General features: G+C 36.5%; 1 protein-coding gene across 8 annotated transcripts in view, besides 1 other annotated feature; it reads right to left on the bottom strand.

Annotated features, from left to right (window-relative positions):
• GPR137C (G protein-coupled receptor 137C) overlaps positions 1 to 20,932 on the bottom strand; it is an 84,878-nt gene that overhangs the window by 23,893 nt on the left and 40,053 nt on the right. For 5 of the 8 annotated variants that reach the window (NR_148417.2, XR_007064006.1, NM_001099652.2 and 2 more), the window contains exons 2-3: positions 15,506 to 15,549; positions 13,480 to 13,708 (exon numbers count right to left, since the gene is read on the bottom strand). Coding sequence is in view for 6 of the 8 variants with exons in the window: in NM_001099652.2 (NP_001093122.1) it covers positions 13,480 to 13,708; positions 15,506 to 15,549 (273 nt within the window). In the remaining 2 variants the exon portion in view is untranslated. Of the gene's footprint in view, positions 1 to 102; positions 151 to 11,268; positions 11,962 to 13,479; positions 13,709 to 15,505; positions 15,550 to 16,838; positions 20,253 to 20,932 lie in introns of those variants that run through there. The other 3 variants (NM_001353361.2, XM_047431279.1, XM_024449541.2) reach the window with 3 other exon arrangements.
• Positions 17,353 to 17,854: an enhancer, noted in NCBI's record as "H3K4me1 hESC enhancer chr14:53062685-53063186 (GRCh37/hg19 assembly coordinates)". NCBI's record gives its function as "activates a minimal SCP1, AML or CMV promoter by ChIP-STARR-seq in naive H9 embryonic stem cells {active_cell/tissue: H9 hESC(naive)}" and the evidence as "EXISTENCE:reporter gene assay evidence [ECO:0000049][PMID:30033119]".

Here is a 20,932-nt window from a genome sequence, read left to right as displayed (position 1 = left end):
ACTCCCATGTCTGTTGCAGCCAGCACTGTCCAAACAGCCAAGATTTGCAAGCAACCTAAGTGTCCATCAACACATGAATGGGTAAAGAAATGTGGTACTTACACACAATGGAGTACTATTCAGCCATAAGAAAGAATGAGATCCTGTAATCTGCAACAACATGGAACTGGAGATCATCATGTTAAATAAAATATGCCAGGCACAGAAAGACAAACATCGCATGTTCTCACTTATTTGTTGGAGCTAAAAATCAGAACAATTGAACTCATGGAGATAGAGAGTAGAAGGATGGTTACCAGAGGTTGGGAAGGGTAGTGGAGGGGTTGGGGAGAAGTGGGGATGGTTAATGGGTACAAAAAGTAGTTAGAAAGAATTAATAAGACCTAGTTGATAGCACAACAGGGTGACTATGGATAATAATTTAATTGTGTATTCTAAAATAACTAAAAGGGTATAATTGAATTGTTTGTAACACAAAGGATAAATGCTTGAGGGGATGGATATTGCATTTTCCATAATGTAATTATTATGCTTCTCATGCCTGTATCAGAAATATCTTTTTTTTTTTTTTTTTGAGGTGGAGTCTCACTCTGTCCCCCAGGCTGGAGGTGCAGTGGCATGATCTCAGCTCACTGCAAGCTCCGCCTCCTGGGTTCACACCGTTCTCCTGCCTCAGCCTCCCGATTAGCTGGGACTACAGGCACCCGCCACCATGCCGGGCAAATTTTTTGTATTTTTAGTAGAGACAGGGTTTCACCGTGTTAGCCAGGATGGTCTTGATCTCCTGACCTCGTGATCCACCCGCCTTGGCCTCCCAAGGTGCTGGGATTACAACAGGCGTGAGCCACTGCGCCTGGCCCAAAAATATTTTATATACCCCATACATATATACCTTATAATCACCCACAAAAATTAAAAATAAAAAATTTTCTAAGAATTAAAAAAAATAATAATGGGCTGAGTACCATGGCTCATGCTTGTAATCCCAGTACTTTGGAAGGCCAAGATGACAGGATCATCTGAGGCCAGGAGTTTGAGAGCAGCCTGGGCAACATAGCAAGACTTGTTCTCTCCAAAGAAAAAAAAAAAAAAAAAGCTGAGTGTGGTGGTGAATGCTCGCAGTTCTAGCTACTTGGGAGGCTGAGGTAGGAGAATTACATAAGCCCAGGAGTTTGAGGTTACAGTAAGCTATAATTGCGCCACTACATTCCAGCCTGGGTGACACAGTGAGAATGTGTCTCTATCAAGAAAAAAAAGTAATGCAAATCATAACATAAAAGATACGTGAGTGCTCTGTAAACTGAGGCTGGGATACACAGTTCTAGATGTAATTACTAAAACCTCTAACTCTTACTAAAAATAAAAAGCAAAACAAAACTGATTTTGAAGAAAATTAACATTATGGAGGCTGACATTCTTTTTTGAAAACCACTTAAAGGCCTATCAGTAGGATAAGAATTAATTTTGGTATATGATGAAATGTTATGCAGCCTTAAAAATAATTTTTAATAGCATGAGAAAATCCTTTACTAGTATAAGGGGAAAAGCAGGGTATAAAATTATATTTACATTTACACTGAGTTCCAAATACAGTTAAGTGTCAGTGGTGACACTACGGCTGTTTAGAACATTAAAGAAATCATATTCTTTCATATTGCCAAGTTTTAATAATCAGAAAAAATACATTTTTAGTAAGGATAATATGGCTAACTGCCCATAAAACTATAAAACAGCAAGTCTGGTAGAAATAAAACCAGTTAACAGACAAATAACAGTGAAAAACAAAAGAAAACCAAAAAAGTTTACCAAAGAACAACATTCTGCCAAATGGGTAATGAAAGGATTTTTCCAAGTTTTGTAAGAACAAGCCTATTCTATAAACTATGTCAAAATATGATGATGAAGATGATAGCGAGTCAACATTTATATTTTTAGTGCCACGTAATATACTATGACTTTCCATACATTATTATTTCATCCTTGCAACACCACTATGGACATGATTACTATACTTTATCTTCAGTTTAAAGGTGGACAGAGAGGTTAAAGTCATAGAGCTGATAAATGGCAGATCTCTGATTTAAATCCAGCAATATAACTCTAGACCTTGAGTTATTACTACTTTGTACTATGTAGTGTACAATTTATTTGAAATAAATACATTTATATCCTGAAACCTGAAAAGATACTAAAAAGTCAAAAAAAGTTGGTTAATTTTACTTCAAGTGTAGGTTTAATAACATTTTAAATAATATAACAATGAAAATACCAAAATTAAAAAAATAACAAAAAATAACAAAAGGAGGTTGTATCCTTAAAATTCAAGGAATATGACAAAAATCTAGTCAAACAATTTACTATATTTGTATAATAAATAGAAAAGGAAAACTGTAGCAATATAAAGTAATTAACAAGAATTTAATAAGATTAAATATCTATTCATAACTAGGTACACATTAGACTTACGAAGGCTATCATTCTTAAAAAAGATAACATTTTAATATAAACAGAAATCACACATGCCAAAGATATAAAGAATAAATTCCCAGATTCCACTCTACAAATCATTGAGAAATAGTTTATACATATAGAAATGTGAATAATTATCTACATGAATTATAAATGCATAACAATTAGATAAATCTAAATTAAAACTTTTAAGGCATATCAATGAAAAAACCAAAATAAATAAAATTTAGACCCAAATATTGATGGAGCAGAGGAAACAAGGTATACTTTTATATTAATGATAGCATTATAAAATGATTTATTCTTTTGGAGAGTATTATGGCAAAATCCAATAAGAATTTATGTGAAATAATGTTATTAATAAGCAAACAAACATATCCATGTAAATTAAAACCTATATAAAAATACACACCTAAAAGATTATAAGTAAACACAGGGTGATGTAAATGGAGTCAATGCATGGTGGTTACTAGCAGAGACCTATGGTCAGACTTGAGTTTGAATCCTGGTTCAACTATGTGAACTTGGGCATGTTTATTGGTTCAATTTGCTCTTGATACAACCCAGTTGTGAAGGCTTATTTGGTTACTAAAGTAAAGCTGCTCTGGCTAAGACTATATGCAAGCATAGAATGTATTTATTCAACAAATATTTACCGAACATCTACTACAGTCGTCCCCTCCTTACCCATAGGGTATTTGTTCCAAAACCCTAAGTGGATACCTGAAACTATGGATAGTACCAAACCCGATATGTACTACTTTTTTTCTTATCCATACATACCTATAATAAAATTTAATTTATAAATCAGGCATACTAAGAAATTAACAAAATAGTAATAAATGGAATAATTATAACAAAATGCTGTAATAAAAGGTATGTGAATGTGGTCATCTCTCTCTCAATATATTTTATTGTACTGTACTCACCTATTTTCAGACTGAGGTTGACTGCAGTAACTGAAATCGTGGAAAGGAAACCGCAGATAAGGGGAGACTACCCTTGTCTTCACTTCACTAAAATATGCCAGGCATTATTTTAGAAAAGGACTGAAAAATGAATAACACAAATAAGAGAGCTCCTTTCCTGGTTTATACTTTAGCAGGGAGAAGCAGAAAATAACTAAGAAAATAAATGAATAAATAATTTTGGCTACTGATAAATGCTGTGAAGATAACAAAAGAGGGTGACAGATGTAGTAATCAGAATGGGGGATAGTCTTATTTGGGTAGTGAAGAAGAGCAACTTTGAAAAAGCGACTGAGGCCTGAATGCAAAGAAGCCATCACATAGGTACCTGTAGAAAATGCAATTTAGGCAGAGGGAACAATATATACAATACAAAGTCTATATGGCTGGAATAAACTTAGTGTATGTTTTGCGGTGAGAAGTTGGGGCACAAAAAGCCAATGTGGCTAGAAAAGGAAGAGGAGAGTGATAGTGGTAGGGGAATCACAAAAATAGTCAAAGGCCAGGTCTTACATGCCATTGAAGTCATACTGCCTTTGTCTCTTAAGCTCCACCTACTCCTGTGTAAATACCTGCTGGGAGGCACACCCATCTGGGCCACTGGGACAGTTTTCTGGACTTGGGTCCCTGGCCAGCATTCCCACCCAGCCCCGGTACCTTCCTTGTGTCTTCCCCAGATCCATCTGGGCCAGAAATTGGCATCAACTTCCGAGCCCTCACAAGACATGGAGCAAGCCTAGGCTTAGAGCGTCCTCCAGTGCTGAGACAACTGCAGTAGACACAGGCTCAGGAAACACAAGTCAGTCTGTTTAGAATCCCTGGAAGGCCCTCTGAAGAAGGCCAGGCATAAACAAAGCCAGACTGTGAAAACTAAAATAAAAATGTAACCCCTTGGTGTGTAGACACCGTCATACTTCCACAAGCATCAAGAACATTCAGAGAAATATGACCTCATCAAATGGATAAAATAAGGTGCCACTTACCCCAAAGTGATGGAGATGTGAGATCTCTCAAAGAATTTTAAATAGCTGTTTTAAGGAAGGTCAATGAACTTCAGGAAATCACAGAGACTCAAATGAGGAATATATCAAAGAAATTTAATATAGAGATTGAAATAATAAAAACAATCAAACAGAAACTCAGGAGCTGAAAATACACTGAATGAAATGAAAGATGTAATAGGGAGCAACAGCAGAATTGGTTAAACAGAACAATCAGTGAGCTTGAAAACAGACTAGCTGAAAATACACAGGGGAGAAAAAAGAAAAAAAAGAAATGAAGAAAGCTTATGAATCTGTGGGCCAACATAAAAAAGCAAATATTTGGGGTGTTGGAGTTAGGTAGGGAACTGAGAAAGACAGGGGTAGAAAGTTTATTTGAAGAAATAATAACAGAAAACTTCCCAAACCTGGAGAAAGATACAAATATCCAGGTACAGGAAAGTCAAAGGTCACCAATCAGAGTCAGTCCAAGTAAAGATACTCTAAGACATATAATCAAACTCCCAAAGGTGAAAGACAAAGAGAAGATCCTGAAAGCAGCAAGAGTAAAGATGCAAATAACATTTAGGAAAGATCCAATACACCTGGCAGCAGACTTCTCAGCAGAAACATTACGGGCCAGGAGTGAATGGGATGATATATTCAGAGTGCTGATGGAAAAAAAAAAAGCCTTCTAAGAATACTCTATCTAGCAAAGCTATTATTTAGAAGTGAAAGAGAGACTTTCACAAACAAAAACTGGGAATTTATCACCAGAGCTGTCCTACAATAAATGCTAAAGGGAATTTTTTTAAACCACAGGAAAAAGACTGTTAACATGATTGTTACACTAATATTATAATCATGATGCATAAACCACTTATATATTTACTAAGAAGACTAAAAGACAGAAGTATTAAAAATAATGACTACAATTTACCAAGAGACAGGCAATATAAAAATGCAAATTGTGCCATCAAACGTTCAAAATGTGGGGAAGAGAATGGAGCTAATGTGTACAGTGTTCTTTGTTTTCTCTTCTTTTTGTGATCAAAGTTGTTATCAATCTTAAGTAACTTGTTGTTAACTACAGAATATTTTTTGTAAGCCTCATGGTAACCACAAAGCAAAAATCTATAACAGATACACTAAAAATAAAAAGCAATAGATTAAAACATACTGCCAGAGAAATCACTTAACCACAAAAGAAGACAGTAAAAAAGGAAGAAAGGAAGAGAGGAGTTAGAAAAGAAGCAAAAATGGCAGTAAATCCTGACATATCAATAGTAACATTTAGTGTAAATGGATTAAACTGTCTAATTAAAAGATACAGAGTGGCAAAATGGATTAAAAAACATGATCTAACTATATGTTGCCTACAGGAAAATCACTTCACCTGTAAAGACACAATACACTGAAAGTGAGGGGATGGAAAAAGATATTCCATGCAAATGGAAACCAAAAAGGAGTAGGAAGAGCTATATTCATATCAGATAAAATAGACCTTGTCTTTTTCTTTTTTTTTTTTTGAGACAGAGTCTCGCTCTGCTGCCCAGGCTGGAGTGCAGTGGTGTGATCTCAGCTCACTGCAACCTCCACCTCCTGTGCTCAAGCGATTCTTGTGCCTCAGCCTCCCAAGCAGCTGGGATTACAGGCATGCGCCACCATGCCCAGCTAATTTTTGTATTTTTACTAGAGACGGGGTTTTGCCATGTTGGCCAGGCTGGTCTTGAACTCCTGAGCCAAGCCATCTGCCCACCTTGGCTTCCTAAAGTGCTGGGATTACAGGCATGAACCACTGCACTTGGCCAGATAAAATAGACTTTAAGTCAAAAATTGTAAAAAGACACAAACGTCATTATACAAAGGTGTCAGTCAACTGAGCAAGAAGACATGACAACAATAAATATATATACATCCAACACCAAGAACACCCAAATATATGAAGCAAATATTAATATTAGCAAAGCTAAAGGGAGAGATAAACTGCAATACAGTAGCAGTAGGGGACTTCAACACCTCACTTTTAGCAACGGACAGATCATCCAGGTGGAAAATCAACAAAGAAACATTGGAGATAAATTATACTCTAAGCCAACTAGCCCTAACAGACATCCATAAAACATTTCATCCAACTGCTGCAGAATGCACATTTTTCTCATCAGTACCTAAAACATTCTCCAGAATAGACCACATGTTAGGCCAGAAAACAAGTCTCAACAAATTAATTAAACAAAGTCAAATCATATCAATATCTTTTCTGGCTGCAACAGAGCAAGACTAGAAATCAGTAACAGGAGGAACTTCTGAAACTGTAAAAATACATGGAAATTAAATAACATGTTCCTGAACGATCAATGGCTCAACGAATAAGTTAAGGAAATTAAAAAATTTCTTGAGAAAAACAAAAATGGAAACACAACATACCAGAAACTATAGGATACAGCAAATGCAGCAGCAAGAGGGAAGTTTATAGAAGTAAATGCCTCCATCAAAAAAATAGAAAGACAAATAAACAATCTAATAATGTATCTCAAGGAAACAGAAAAGCAAGAGCAAGCCAAAGCCAAAATTAGTAGAAGGAAAGAAATAATGAAGATTAAAGCAGAAATAAATGAAATTGAGACTTAAAAAAATACAAAAGAGGAACAAAACAAAAAGTTTGTTTTTTGAAAAAATAAATCAACAAACTTAGCTAGACTAACAAAAAGAGAAGACTCAAATAATTAAAACTAAGGATGAAAAGAGAAACATTAGCAGCCTGGACAACATAGATTCTGTCTACAAAAAATTTAAAAAATTGGCTGGGTGTGGTGGCACATGCCTGTAGTCCCAGCCCTGGGAGTCTGAGGTGGGAGGATCACTTGAGCCTGGGAGGTCCAGGCTGTAGTGAGCTGAGATCACACCATTGCCCACTCCAGCCTGGGTGACACAGCAAGACACTGTCTCAAAGTAAATAAACAAATTTAATTAATAAATAAAAGCACTATTCATGTAAAATAAAAAAGAAAAAGAAAAGGAAACATTATAACAGATACCACAGAAATACAAGAAATCATTAGAGACTATTACGAACTACATGCCAACAAATTAGAAAACCTGGAAGAAATGGATAAGTTCCTGAACACATATAACCTACCATGACTGAATAACGAAGAAAACCTGAATACATCAATAATGAGTAACAGTATTAAAACAGTAATAAAGTCCCCCAACAAAGAAAAAGCACAGGACCTTATGGCTTCACAGCTAAATTCTACTGAAAGTTTAAAGAAGAACTAATACCAATTCTGCTCAAACAATTTCAAAAAATTGAAGGAGCGGGAACATTTCCAAAATCATTCTATGAGGCTAGCATTACCCTCTGATGCCAAAAACAGGAAAAGAGACAAACAACAAAAAACTCTACAGGCCAACATCTCTGATGAAAATAGATGCAAACATCCTTGACAAAATACTGGCAAACAGAATTCAACAACACATTGAAAAGATCATTTGCCATGATCAAATTGATTCATCCCAGGGATGCAAGGAAGGCTCAATGTACACAAATCAACAAATGTGATATATCGCAGCAACAGAATGAAGAACAAAAACCACATGTTCATTTCAATAGATGCTTAAAAAGCATTCAGTAAAATTCAACATCCTTTCATGATAAAAGCCGTAAAAAAATAGGGTACAGAACATACCTCAGCAAGATAAAGTCTAAATATGACAAACACACAACTAATACTATATTGAATGGGGAAAAATTGAAAGCCTTTCCACTAAAATCTGGAACAACATAAGGATGCCCACTTTCACCACTTTTACACAACATAGTACTGGAAGTCTAAGCCAGAGCAATTAGGCAAGAGAAAGAAATAAAGGGCATCCAGACTAGAAAGGAAGAAGTCAAATTAATCCTTGTTACAGATTATATGATCTCATATTTTGAAAAACTTAAAGATTCCACAAAGAACTATTAGAACTGATAAATGATCAGTAAAATTGAAGGATACAAAATCAACATACAGAAATCAGTAGTGTTTCTATATGTTAACAGTGATCAATCTGAAAAAGAAATCAAGAAATCAATCTCATTTACAAGAGCTACCAAAAAATATCCAGGAATAAATTAAACCTAAGAAGTAAAAGATCTCTATAATGAAAACCATGAAATAGTGAAGAAAGAAATTGAAGAGGACACAAAAAATGGAAAGACATCCCATGCTCACTAATTGAAAGAATCAATATTGTGAAAATTTCTATACTACCCAAAGTGATCTACAGATTCAATGAAATATCTGTCAAAATAGCAATTACATTCTTCAAAGAAATAGAAGAAAAGTCCTAAAATTATATGGAACCACAAAAGACCCTGAATAGCTAAAGCAATCCTAAGTAAAAAGAATGAAGTTGGAGGCATCACAATATTTGATTTTAAATTATACTGCAAAGCTATAGTATCCAAAACAGCATGGTACTGGCATAAAAACAGACACACAGACCAGTGGAATAGAACACAGAACTCAGAAATAAATCCACACACTTATAGCCAACTTATTTTTGACAAAGATGCCCAGAACATACACTGGGGGAAGTCACAATCTCAATAAATGGTGCTGGGAAAACTGGTTATCCATATGCAGAGGAATTAAACAGCCCCATTTTGGCTGTGCGCGATGGCTCATGCCTGTAATCCTGGCACTTTGGGAGGCCAAGGCAGGTGGATCACCTGAGATCAGGAGTTTAAGAGCAGCCTGGCCAACACGGCAAAACCCCATCTCTACTAAAAATACAAAAAAATTAGCCAGGCGTGGTGGTGAGCACCTGTAATTCCAGCTACATGGGAGGCTGAGGCTGGAGAATCGCTTGAACCTGGGAGGTGGAGGTTGTAGTGAGCCAGGATCACAACACTGCACTAGAGTCTGGGTGACAGACAGAGCTAGACTCTGTCTCAAGAAAAAAAAAAAAGCCCCATCTCTCACCATCTACAAAAATGGATTTAAAACATAAATTTAAGACCTGAAACTATGAAAGTACTAGAAGAAAACACTGGGGAAATGCTCCAGGACCTTCATCTGGGCAAATATTTTTTGGGTAAGGCCTCAAAAGCATAGGCAACCAAAGTAATAATAGACAAATGGGATTACATCAGGCTAAAAAGCTCCTGCAAAGCAAAGGAAACAATTAACAAAGTGAAGTGACAACCTATAGAATGGGAGTAAATATTTACAAGTTATCCATTCAACAAGGGATTAATAACCAGAATATATAAGGAACTCAAACAATCAATAGCAAAAAGATAGATAATCAAATTAAAAATGGGCAACATACCTGAATAGACATCTCTACAAAAGCAGACATACAAATGGCCAACAGTTAAATGAAAAAATTCAACATCAATCATCAGGGAAATGCAAATCAAAACCACAATGGGTTATCATCTCACTATAGTTAGAATGGTTATTATCAAAAAGACAAAAAATCAAGTGCTGGCAGAGATGCAGAGAAAGGGGAATGCCTGTACACTGTTGATGGGAATGTAAAGTAGGACAACCGTTATGAAAAACAGTATGAGGCTGGGCACAGTGGCTCCCATCTGTAATCCCAGCACTTTGGGAGGCTGAGGAGGGTGGATTACTTGAGGTCAGGAGGTTGAGACCAGCCCGGCCAACATGGTGAAACCCCGTCTCTACTAATAACACAAAAAAAATTTAGCCAGGCGTGGTGTCAGGCACCTGTAATCCCAGCTACTCGGGAGGCTGAGGCAGGAGAATTACTTGAACCTGGGAGGCAGAAGTTGCAGCGAACCAAGAGTGCGCCACTTGTACTCCAGCCTCAGCGAAAGAGCAAGACTCCATCTCAAAAACAAACAAACAACCCCAAAAAGCAGTATGGAAGTTCCTTGAAAAACTAAAAATAGAACTACCATATGATCCAGAAATCTCACTGCTGGGTAGATATCCAAGAGAAAGGAAATTACTATGTCAAAGAGACAGGTGCACTCCCATATTTATTGTAGCACTATTCATAATAGCCAAGATATGGAATCAACCTAAGTGTCCATCAACAGATGAATGAATAAAAAAATGTGGTACATGTATACAATGGACTATTACATGGGCATAAAAAGAATGAAATCCTGTCATTTGAAACAACGTGGATGGACCTGGAGTTCATTATGTTAAGTGAAATAAGCCAGGCACAGAAAGACAAATATACTACATGTTCTCACTCACATGTGGGAGCTACAAAAGTGGATCTCATGGAGGTAGAGTAGAATAATGGTTACTAGAGGCTGGAAAAGGAAGAGTGGTAGGGGAGGATGAAGAGAAGTTGGTTGATGAGTACAAAAATACAGTTAGATAAGAGTAAGTATTTGATAGTACATTATGGAAATTATAGTTAATAACAATTTATTATATGTTTCAAAATAACTAGAAAGAACTGTAATGTTCCAATACAAAAATATAAATGTTTGAGGTGATGATATCCCAATTACCCTGATTTGATTATTACATATTGTATACATGTAGCAAAATATCACATGTACCCCAAAAATATGTACAACTAAATATGACGTCAATTAAAAAATACAAAAAAATTAGATGGCACATACAAATGCCACTTTGTATAAACTGATAAGTGCCCCAAGAGAAATAAATAAAATTTTAAGATAATTCAGATAGTGAGTTATTTCTAAATTTTATTTTAGAGTTGGGGGAGAAGGGATCAAATTGAGTTCATAAAAAGGGGAAAGATTAAGTGAGGTCTTTAAAGTTAGATAAGACATGAACAATCAGATAGAGATGTGTGAGAGGAAAGCCGTTCCTGGATAATAAAACAGCCTAAGAATACAGAGATAGAGGGCATACTGTGTTTTATTTGGAAATAAGGAAGGTAAGATTGGTTGAGACAAATTACAGAGGATCTTATTGTCACAGAACATGTAAAGGAAGGAAGAAAGAATGAAAAGAGGAAGACAGAAGACCAAAGTCTGAACTTTAAGGAAATGCTCTTAAAGACAAGAAACAGGGTCAGTTTGATAGTGAAAGCGTAACAAAGGTATTGAGAGGGAGAGAGAGAGAGAGGGACAGAAACAACCAAAAAAACCCCAGAAAGTGAAAGAGGTAGATGCTCAATAAACACTTGTTGATTGAATAAAAGGAATGACTATTATTGTACACTGTTATAGAAGTCAAAAGTCAAAAATGAGTCTAGTGATTATACAAGAACATGAAAGCAAGATGACATGCTCTTTGAATACAGAAGTTTATAATCTAGTTAGGAAGACTGGGAACTACTTAACATTACAATATTAAACAAATCATCTAGTATGTCATCTACCTTCATAGGTGAACACGTCTGAACATGTATATCTGCAGTATTCCTAGATAATTCCGAATCCATACAGCTTTTAAATTTAAAACTTTAAATAATAATAAATAAGTGAATACCTTTCATATGATAGTAAGGGAATGGTGTTCTAATAATTCTGGAGGATTTAGTAAATGAAATTTTCTTCTCAGATTGGTGACTTTTATTCAGAGTATTATCTATTTCAAAGCGAGTAAAAAACCAAACTTAGAAATACACTAGGTATCTAGAGAAGAAGCACTTGAAATTCAACATCTATTTATGCTTTATCCCTAGACAAGCAACAGGTATGAATTCTATAGTGATGTTATTATACTAAATAAAGATGCCATTGCTCCTACCAAAAGATTATGGACTGTAACAGTGACAGTATTATTTTTAACAGTCAAACCAAAGCCTGAATTAGCTAAAATATTTAAATGTTAGGAGCAAACTAGACTAGAAATTTAATAAAATAATTTTCCAGGTAAGATTAATAAGTTTGAAAGTCTGATTTTCTTTGTCTCTTCTCTTCTCTCTCTCTCTCTCTATATATATATACACACACACACACACACACATAATATCTCCCCCAGCATTCCACTGAAATATATTTAAAAAGTAAAATTAAAATCTCTGCCTACATTTAAAGGACAAGTTGATTACCATATATTTAATTATAGTACCTTACTTTACTAGGACTATATTAAGGATAACGAAAATATAGAAGCCTAAAAATATTTCAGAGGACTATTTTAACTAAGATACTATCTCAACTTATTATTAGTGAATAGGCAATGATGTCAAATTAAAGCAAGAAGACAAGCTCTCCTGTGGAAGTGATTGTAAAAATGTATTTATGTACATACCCATACCCCAATATCCACATATCTACCCCCTCACACCCAATGCCACACATAAACTGTGATGATCAATTTTCTACTCAATCACATGGTCAATCAACAATGGTAGAAACTTCCATGTTTCTTTGTTAATGGGCTACTATTTGGCTTCTGTTTGTTGATCCAAAGTATAAGGCAAGGGAGAAGCAAGGCATTTATAAATTTTGCTACACAATTAGTTGTTTCAAATATCACACAGCCTTCATATTATTGGGTGAAGTAACATTTTCTAACCTTTATACAAATAAAAACCACTTTTACCTATATGACATCTTAACATTGCTAACCCTGCCACCCTTATTGTGCAAAATCTTAAGATGCTAGCATGATTTTATATTATAGACTATTTTTGATCCATTCATATATATTCTGATTTATTTCATGTGATTAGCCTCCAATGCAGAATCACAGAAAATACAACATGCTTAGTATATTCTTTCTTCTTTTCTTTAAACCATTGTTTAGTAAGGACCAAATACTGAATAACTTTTAATTTCTAGTGATTATTCTTTCACGCTCAAAGTGTAACTGTCATTCAGGATATTTTTTAAAAAAGCAATATGCCTGTAGTCCCAGCTACCTGGGAGGTTGAGGCAGAGGATCACTTGAGCCCAAAAGCTCAAGGCTGTACTGCACAATGATTGCATCTGTGAATAGCCATTGCACTCTAGCCTGACTAATATGGCGAGACCCTGTCTCAAATAAAATAAAATAAAATAAAATAAAATAGCAATATAAACTTTCCATTAAAATATGATTAGTAGGGTAAGAATTTGAAATTAGATTTTCAAGTGCCAATTTAAGAAATATTCTTACCTTTGATTCGAGGTAGACATTAGCTGATGACATTTTTGTAATTTTGCATATGTAACACACTAAAGAGATGGCACAAAGAATAAACAGGCTATCATTAATTAATGCTCGAACAAACACAGTCCACTTCAACTGATTTTCTGGGACATCTCCATGAACTAGCATTGCGCAAGTCAAGTTCACCACTAAAAAGAGCAGGCTTGCCATTATAAAGCCCAAATGCAGTAGAATTCTGAAAGAAAAAAAGTATATTAGATGGTTATATAACTAATAAGAAATCAAATTTAATTCTGCATTAGTGTGTTATGTTAGGTACAAGAATTCCTTCAGTTTGAAATGTTTATGAATGGCATAGATTTTTAAGCATTTATTCAGAAATAGTCTCAGGTTGACTTGAACTCAGTTTCTCCACCAGGAATAAGATAGGACTATCTTAACACTATTTCAAGTAATCCCAAATTTTTCATTTTTATAACTATTAAGCATATTTACATTAACCTTTCCAATCCAAGAATTATCAGGCTTTTACAATGTGCCTGAAAATTAATATACTGTATCTAAATTCATATTGATTAAATTTTAATTGATTAAAATATTAATTTTAAGAGTTAGGCCAGGCATGGCGGCTCATGCCTGTAATCTCAGAACTTTGGGAGGCCGAGGCAGGCAGATCACTTGAGGCCAGGAGTTCGAGACCAGCCTGGCCAACATGGAGAAACCTCATCTCTACTAAAAATACAAAAATTAGCTGGGTATGGCGGCACACGCCTGTAGTCCCAGCTATTCAGGAGGCTGAGGCACAAGAATCACTTGAATCTAGGAGATGGAGGTTGCAGTGAGCCAAGACAGCGCCACTGCACTCCAGCCTGGGTGAGACTGCGAGACTGTATCAATAAAAAAAAAAAAAAAAGGAAAAAAAAATTTTTAAGAGTTAAAGTATGTTTTAAACAATATTCCTTATGAACTTCTGATTGTAGCAAAAAATGCTTTCAAACTTGACTAAAGAAGAACATAGGGACAGTATATGTAGAGCTTCAAGCACCCATTAATACCTCATGTTCTTAAAAAGTTGCATATTTACTGTGCATGAAGAGCAACTCTGCACATGAACTCCTTAATCTCTTCCCCCTAAGAAAATTTAGGCTACCTCATAAGAACTCTTCAGTTAAGGCTGCTATGTGTATCAAGTAGCAGTAACAACTATCTGCACGAACGTAATCCCAGTTCAAACACATTTATACTTCCAAATTAAATACATATGATGCTGAAATTTATCTGGCTTCCTGATATATTGGGTCATTTCAATAGTGGAAATCAGAAAGTAGCTGCCTTTGGAAATGGTTTAAACGAGGTAAATTGAAGGTAATGTGCAATCTGTAACAAGCAAACAAAACTGCTTAGTGTACATGCAAAGCAAAAAGATTTTAGTTTTAAAAGGTTGTATTTTGAAGTTCTCTCAGATTAAATAATAAAAACAGTAATTACATAGTTTGAAACCCAAAAAGGATCTTGAAATCACCTACATATCCAGATAATTAGAGTAGTTTAGAAACTAGTAGAGGGTACATGAATTGCACAGTCAGCAAGTTAGTGGGAAAATTGGGTTGGAAACCCCAATCTCCTGACTCCACAGCTTAGCACTCTCGCTATTGAGATTGATCAGTACTGAAATATTACCTATTTCATGGAACATTCTCACTCCAAACAGCATAATCTAACTTTGGCAAAAGTGGACCCTATGAAGTTAGATCTAACATTTGAAGCAGGGACAGAGCAGCAAAAAAACAAAAAATTAGTCAGCTGTATGGCTGAAGGGAGAGAAATGTGGGCTACTCAATTTGATTCCTTTGAACCAATCTAACAACTTGGTTTTCTATAAAACTGTGAAGGTGCCCTCAACAACCACTCCCTTCTACCACGAGAAGTCTACTATTAAAAAAAATTAGATCTTTTAGATACTAAGCCTTAATATTAATGAATTAATGCTTTAGATCTTTTAGATAGAAATTTAGATACTCATAAAACTTACTTGTGTCTGTCAAGTTCAGTGGCACATCTGACTTTACATATAACCTATAAAGAGAATATAAAAAAAAAATTTTGAAAACGTGTAATATAGAATTCTTAAATATGTTCTGATTTTGTGTTTTAAAGTGCTACCACTATAAATAACATATAGCACGCAAAGTTGAAATGTTAACAGTTGAGCTACCATAAACTAAGAGACAGGTTTCCAAAGGCTTAAAACAATAAATCAATAACTTTCTTTGTTATCAACATAAACCTACATTTCTATCTTTAAAGATTTAAACAGAATTAATTCAGTTTAAACATATACTGTACTTGTATTATGAGGCAGACATTGTGCTGAATGGCTTGCCACCTATCCTAAACTTCATTATATTAGTCATGTTTTATTCTAAAATGGAACTTCTTGCTTAAATATGAATATGGCTGAGTATTCTCCAAAGACTATTTTCTTCAGTAATGAAATGAATTTGTAAAGCGAAATGAGGTACCAAAAGTGAACACAAAGATAATGAGGATATATCATATTTAGTAAACTTTCTTCTTTTATAAAGCCTTACAAAAGGCAGGTGCTCAGATACTTGTTGAATAAAGTCAGGTGAGTAGGTAAACCAAATTTGAAATAAACATGGTATATTCTGCGAACATAGTATTAAGGATCTCAAGTCCTTACTGGTGAACTTTAAATTATTCTTTAGATAATGGGAAGATATTGAAAGTTTTTATACAGCTATTCCAAAATATGGAATTTCACTAATCTGACATTAGTGTACAGGCTACTACAGAGGAACTACAAAATAAAAGTAGAAAGACCAGTTACAGGACTATTGAAGTAGAGTATGAAGTTTGGGGACCTGGAAAGAAAGAAGAAAGTACATTATGAAGAAAAATAGTGAAGGTACATGGTAACTCACTGATTTCATTTAAACATTTACCAAGTGCCTATTATATATCACACTCTATGAAAGGTGCTATGGATTCATAAACATGACCACGGTTTCTGCTCTCTAGGAGCTCAGAGTATGAAAGAACAGAAAAACCATCTATTTTGATACATTGTGATATAAATGCAAAATATGCTATCACAAAATCTAGAAGGAGAAAAGACTAATTCACTCCAAGAAAGGGTATGAGGTAAGGGGAAAAACTGTCTGGAGCGTCAGGGAGGACTTCTCATAATATTTGAGCCAACTTATGAAGAGTAAATTGGTGTTAGGCAGGTGAATCATCAGGCAAAGATAGATGCCTGTGCATCTACTCATACCTACTGTACAGCCACGTGTCGCTTAATGACAGAGATATATGTTCTGAGAAATGCATTGTTACAAACGCACCATTTGGAGATATAAGATGGGTTCCTTCCAAGATGGCCAAATAGGAACAGCTCCAGTCTGCAGCACCTAGCAAGGTTGACGCAGAAGACAGGTGATTTCTGCATTTCCAATTGAGGTACCTGGTTCATCTCATTGGGACTGGTTGGACAGTGGGTGCAGCCCATGGAGGGTGAGCTGAAGCAGGGCAGGGTGTCGCCTCACCTGGGAAGCACAAGGGGTTGGGGAATTTCCCTTTCCTAAGCAAGGGAAGCCGTGACAGACTGTACCTGGAGGAATGGTACACTCTCGTCCAAATACTGCACTTTTCCCACAGTCTCAGCAACTGGCAGACCAGGAGATTCCCTCCTGTGCCTGGCTTGGTGGGTCCCACGCCCACAGAGCCTTGCTCAATGCTAGCGCAGCAGTCTGAGATCCACCTGCAACACTGCAGCCCAGCAGGGGGAGGGGCATCCACCATTGTTGAGGCTTGAATAGGTAAACAAACCAGCCAGGAAGCTCGAACTGGGCAGAGCCCACCGCAGCTCAGCAAGGCCTACCGCCTCGCTAGACGCCACCTCTGTGGGCAGGGCATAGCTGAACAAAAGGCAGCAGACAACTTCTGCAGACTTAAATGTCCCTGTCTAACAGCTCGGAAGAGAGCAGTGATTCTCCCAGCACGGAGTTTGAGCTCTGAGAACGGACAGACTGCCTCCTCAAGTGGGTCCCTGACCCGTGTAGCCTGACTGGGAGACACCTCCCAGTAGGGGCCGACAGACACCTCATACAGGCGGGTGCCCCTCTGGGACGAAGCATCCAGAGGAAGGACCAAGCAGCAATATTTGCTGTTCTGCAGCCTCCCCTGGTGATACCCAGGCAAATAGGTTCTGAAGTGGACCTCTAGCAAACTCCAACAGACCTACAGTTGAGAGGCCTGACTGTTAGAAGGAAAACTAATAAACAGAAAGGAATAGCATCAACATCAACAAAAAGGACATCCACACCAAAACCCCATCTGTAGGTCACCAACATCAAAGACCAAAGGTAAATAAAACCACAAAAATGGGGAGAAACCAGAACACAAAAGCTGAAAATTCCAAAAACCAGACTGCCTCTTCTCCTCCAAAGGATAGCAGATCCTTGCCAGCAATGGAACAAAACTGGATGGAGAACGAGTTTGACGAGTTGACAGAAGTAGGCTTCAAAAGGTCAGTAATCAAACTTCTCCGAGCTAAAGGAGCATGTTCTAACCCAATGCAAGAAAGCAAAAAACCTTGAAAAAAGGTCAGGCGAATGGCTAACTAGAATAAACAGTGTAGAGAAGACCTTAAATGACCTGATGGAGCTGAAAACCATAGCATGAGAACTTCGTGATGCATGCACAAGCTTCAATAGCCGATTCAATCAAGTGGAAGAAAGGATATCAGTGATTCAAGATAAATTAATAAAACAGAGCGAGGAGACAAGATTAGAGAAAAAAGAGTAAAAAGAAATGAAAAAAGCCTCCAAGAAATATGGGACTATGTGAAAAGACCAAATCTATGTTTGATTGTTGTACCTGAAAGTGATGGGGAGAATGGAACCAAGTTAGAAAACACTCTTCAGGATATTATCCAGGAGAACTTCCACAACCTAGCAAGGCAGGCCAACATTCAAATCCAGGAAATTCAGAGAACACCACAAAGATACTCCTCAAGAAGAGGAACCCCAAGACACATAATTGTCAGATTCACCAAGGTTGAAATGAAGGAAAAAATGTTAAGGGCAGCCAGAGAGAAAGGTCGGGTTACCCACGAAGGGAAGCCCATCAGACTAACAGGGGATCTCTCGGCAGAAACCCCACAAACCAGAAAAGAGTGGGGTTCAATATTCAACATTCTTAAAGAAAAGAATTTTCAACCCAGAATTTCATATCCAGACAAACTAAGCTTCATAAGCGAAGGAGAAATAAAATCCTTTACAGACAAGCAAATGCTGAGAGATTTTGTCTCCACCAGGCCTGCCTTACAAGAGCTCCTGAAGGAAGCACTAAACATGGAAAGAAACACCGGTACCAGCCACTGCAAAAACATGCCAAATTATACAGATCATCAATGCTATGAAGTAACTGCATCAATTAACGGGCAAAATAACCAGCTAACATCATAATGACAGGATCAAATTCACACATAACAATATTAACCTTAAATGTAAATGGGCTAAATGCCCCCAGTTAAAAGACACAGACTGGCAAACTGGATAAAGAGTCAAGACCCATTGGTGTGCTGCATTCAGGAGACCCATCTCATGTGCAGAGACACACATAGACTCAAAAAAAAGGGATGGAGGAAGATCTACCAAGCAAATGGAAAGCAAAAAAAAGCAGGGGTTGCAATCATAGTCTCTGATAAAACAGACTTTAAACCAACAAAGATCAAAAGAGACAAAGAAGGCCATTACTGAATGGTAAAGGGATCAATTCAACAAGAAGAGCTAACTATCCTAAATATATATGCACCCAATACAGAAGCACCCAGACTCATAAAGCAAGTCCTTAGAGATCTACAAAGAGACTTAGACTCCCAATAATCGGAGACTTTAACACCCCACTGTCAATATTAGCCAGATCAACGAGACAGAAGGTTAACAAGGATATCCAGGACTTGAATTCAGCTCTGCACCAAGCAGACCTAATAGACATCTACAGAACTCTCCATCCCAAATCAACAGAATATACCTTTTTCTCAGCACCACATCACACTTATTCTAAAATTGACCACATAATTGGAAGTGAAACACTCCTGAACAAATGTAAAAGAACACAAATGACAACAAACTGTGTCTCAGACCACAGGGCAATCAATCTCAGGATTAAGAAACTCACTCAGAACTGCACAACTACATGGAAATTGAACAACCTGCTCCTGAATGACTACTGGGTAAATAATGAAATGAAGGCAGAAATAAAGATGTTCTTTGAAACCAATGAGAACAAAGACACATCGTACCAGAATTTCTGGGACACATTTAAAGCAGTGTGTAGAGGGAAATTTACAGCACTAAATTCCACAAGAGAAAGCAGGAAAGATCTAAAATGGACACCCTAACATCACAATTAAAAGAACTAGAGAAGCAAGAGCAAACAAATTCAAAAGCTAGCAGAAGGCAAGAAACAACAAAGATCAGAGCAGAACTGAGGGAGACAGAGACATGAAAAACTCTTCAAAAAAATCAATGAATCCAGGAGCTGGTTTTTTGAAAGATCAACAAAATAGAGAGACCGCTAGCAAGACTAATAAAGAAGAAAAGAGAGAAGAATCAAATAGATGCAACAAAAAATGATAAAGGGGATATCATCGCCGATCCCACAGAATTACAAACTACCATCAGAGAATACTATAAACACCTCTATGCAAATAAACTAGAAAATCCAGAAGAAATGGATAAATTCCTGGACACATACACCCTCCCAAGACTAAACCAGGAAGAAGTTGAATCTCTGAATAGATCAATAACAGGTTCTGAAATTGAGGCAATAATTAATAGCCTACTAACCAAAAAACGTCCAGGACCAGATGGATTCACAGCCGAATTCTACCAGAGGTACAAAGAGGAGCTGCTACCATTCCTTCTGAACTATTCCAATCAATAGAAAAAGAGGGACTCCTCCCTAACTCATTTTATGGGGCCAGCATCATCCCGACACAAAGGCCTGGCAGAGACACAACAAAAAAGGAAAATTTTAGATCAATATCCCTAATAAACATAGATGTGAAAATACTCAATAAAATACTGGCAAACTGAATCCAGCAGCACATCAAAAAGCTTATCCACCACAATCAACTCGGCTTCATCCCTGGGATGCAAGGCTGGTTTAACATATGCAAATCAATAAACATAATCCATCACATAAACAGAACCAATGACAAAAACCACATGATAATCTCAATAGATGCAGAAAAGGCCTTCGATTAAATTCAACAGCCCTTCATGCTAAAAACTCTCAATAAACTAGGAATTGATGCAACATATCTCAAAATAATAAGAGCTATTTATTACAAACCCACAGCCAGTATCATACTGAATGGGCAAAAACTAGAAGCACTCCCTTTGAAAATCGGTACAAGACAAGGATGCTC

The sequence above is a fragment of the Homo sapiens genome, chromosome 14 (assembly GCF_000001405.40).
Source record: "Homo sapiens chromosome 14, GRCh38.p14 Primary Assembly".
Taxonomy (NCBI): Eukaryota; Metazoa; Chordata; class Mammalia; order Primates; family Hominidae; genus Homo; species Homo sapiens.
The sequence above is the reverse complement of the archived record's forward strand: the minus strand, read 5'-3'. Positions and strand labels throughout refer to the sequence as shown.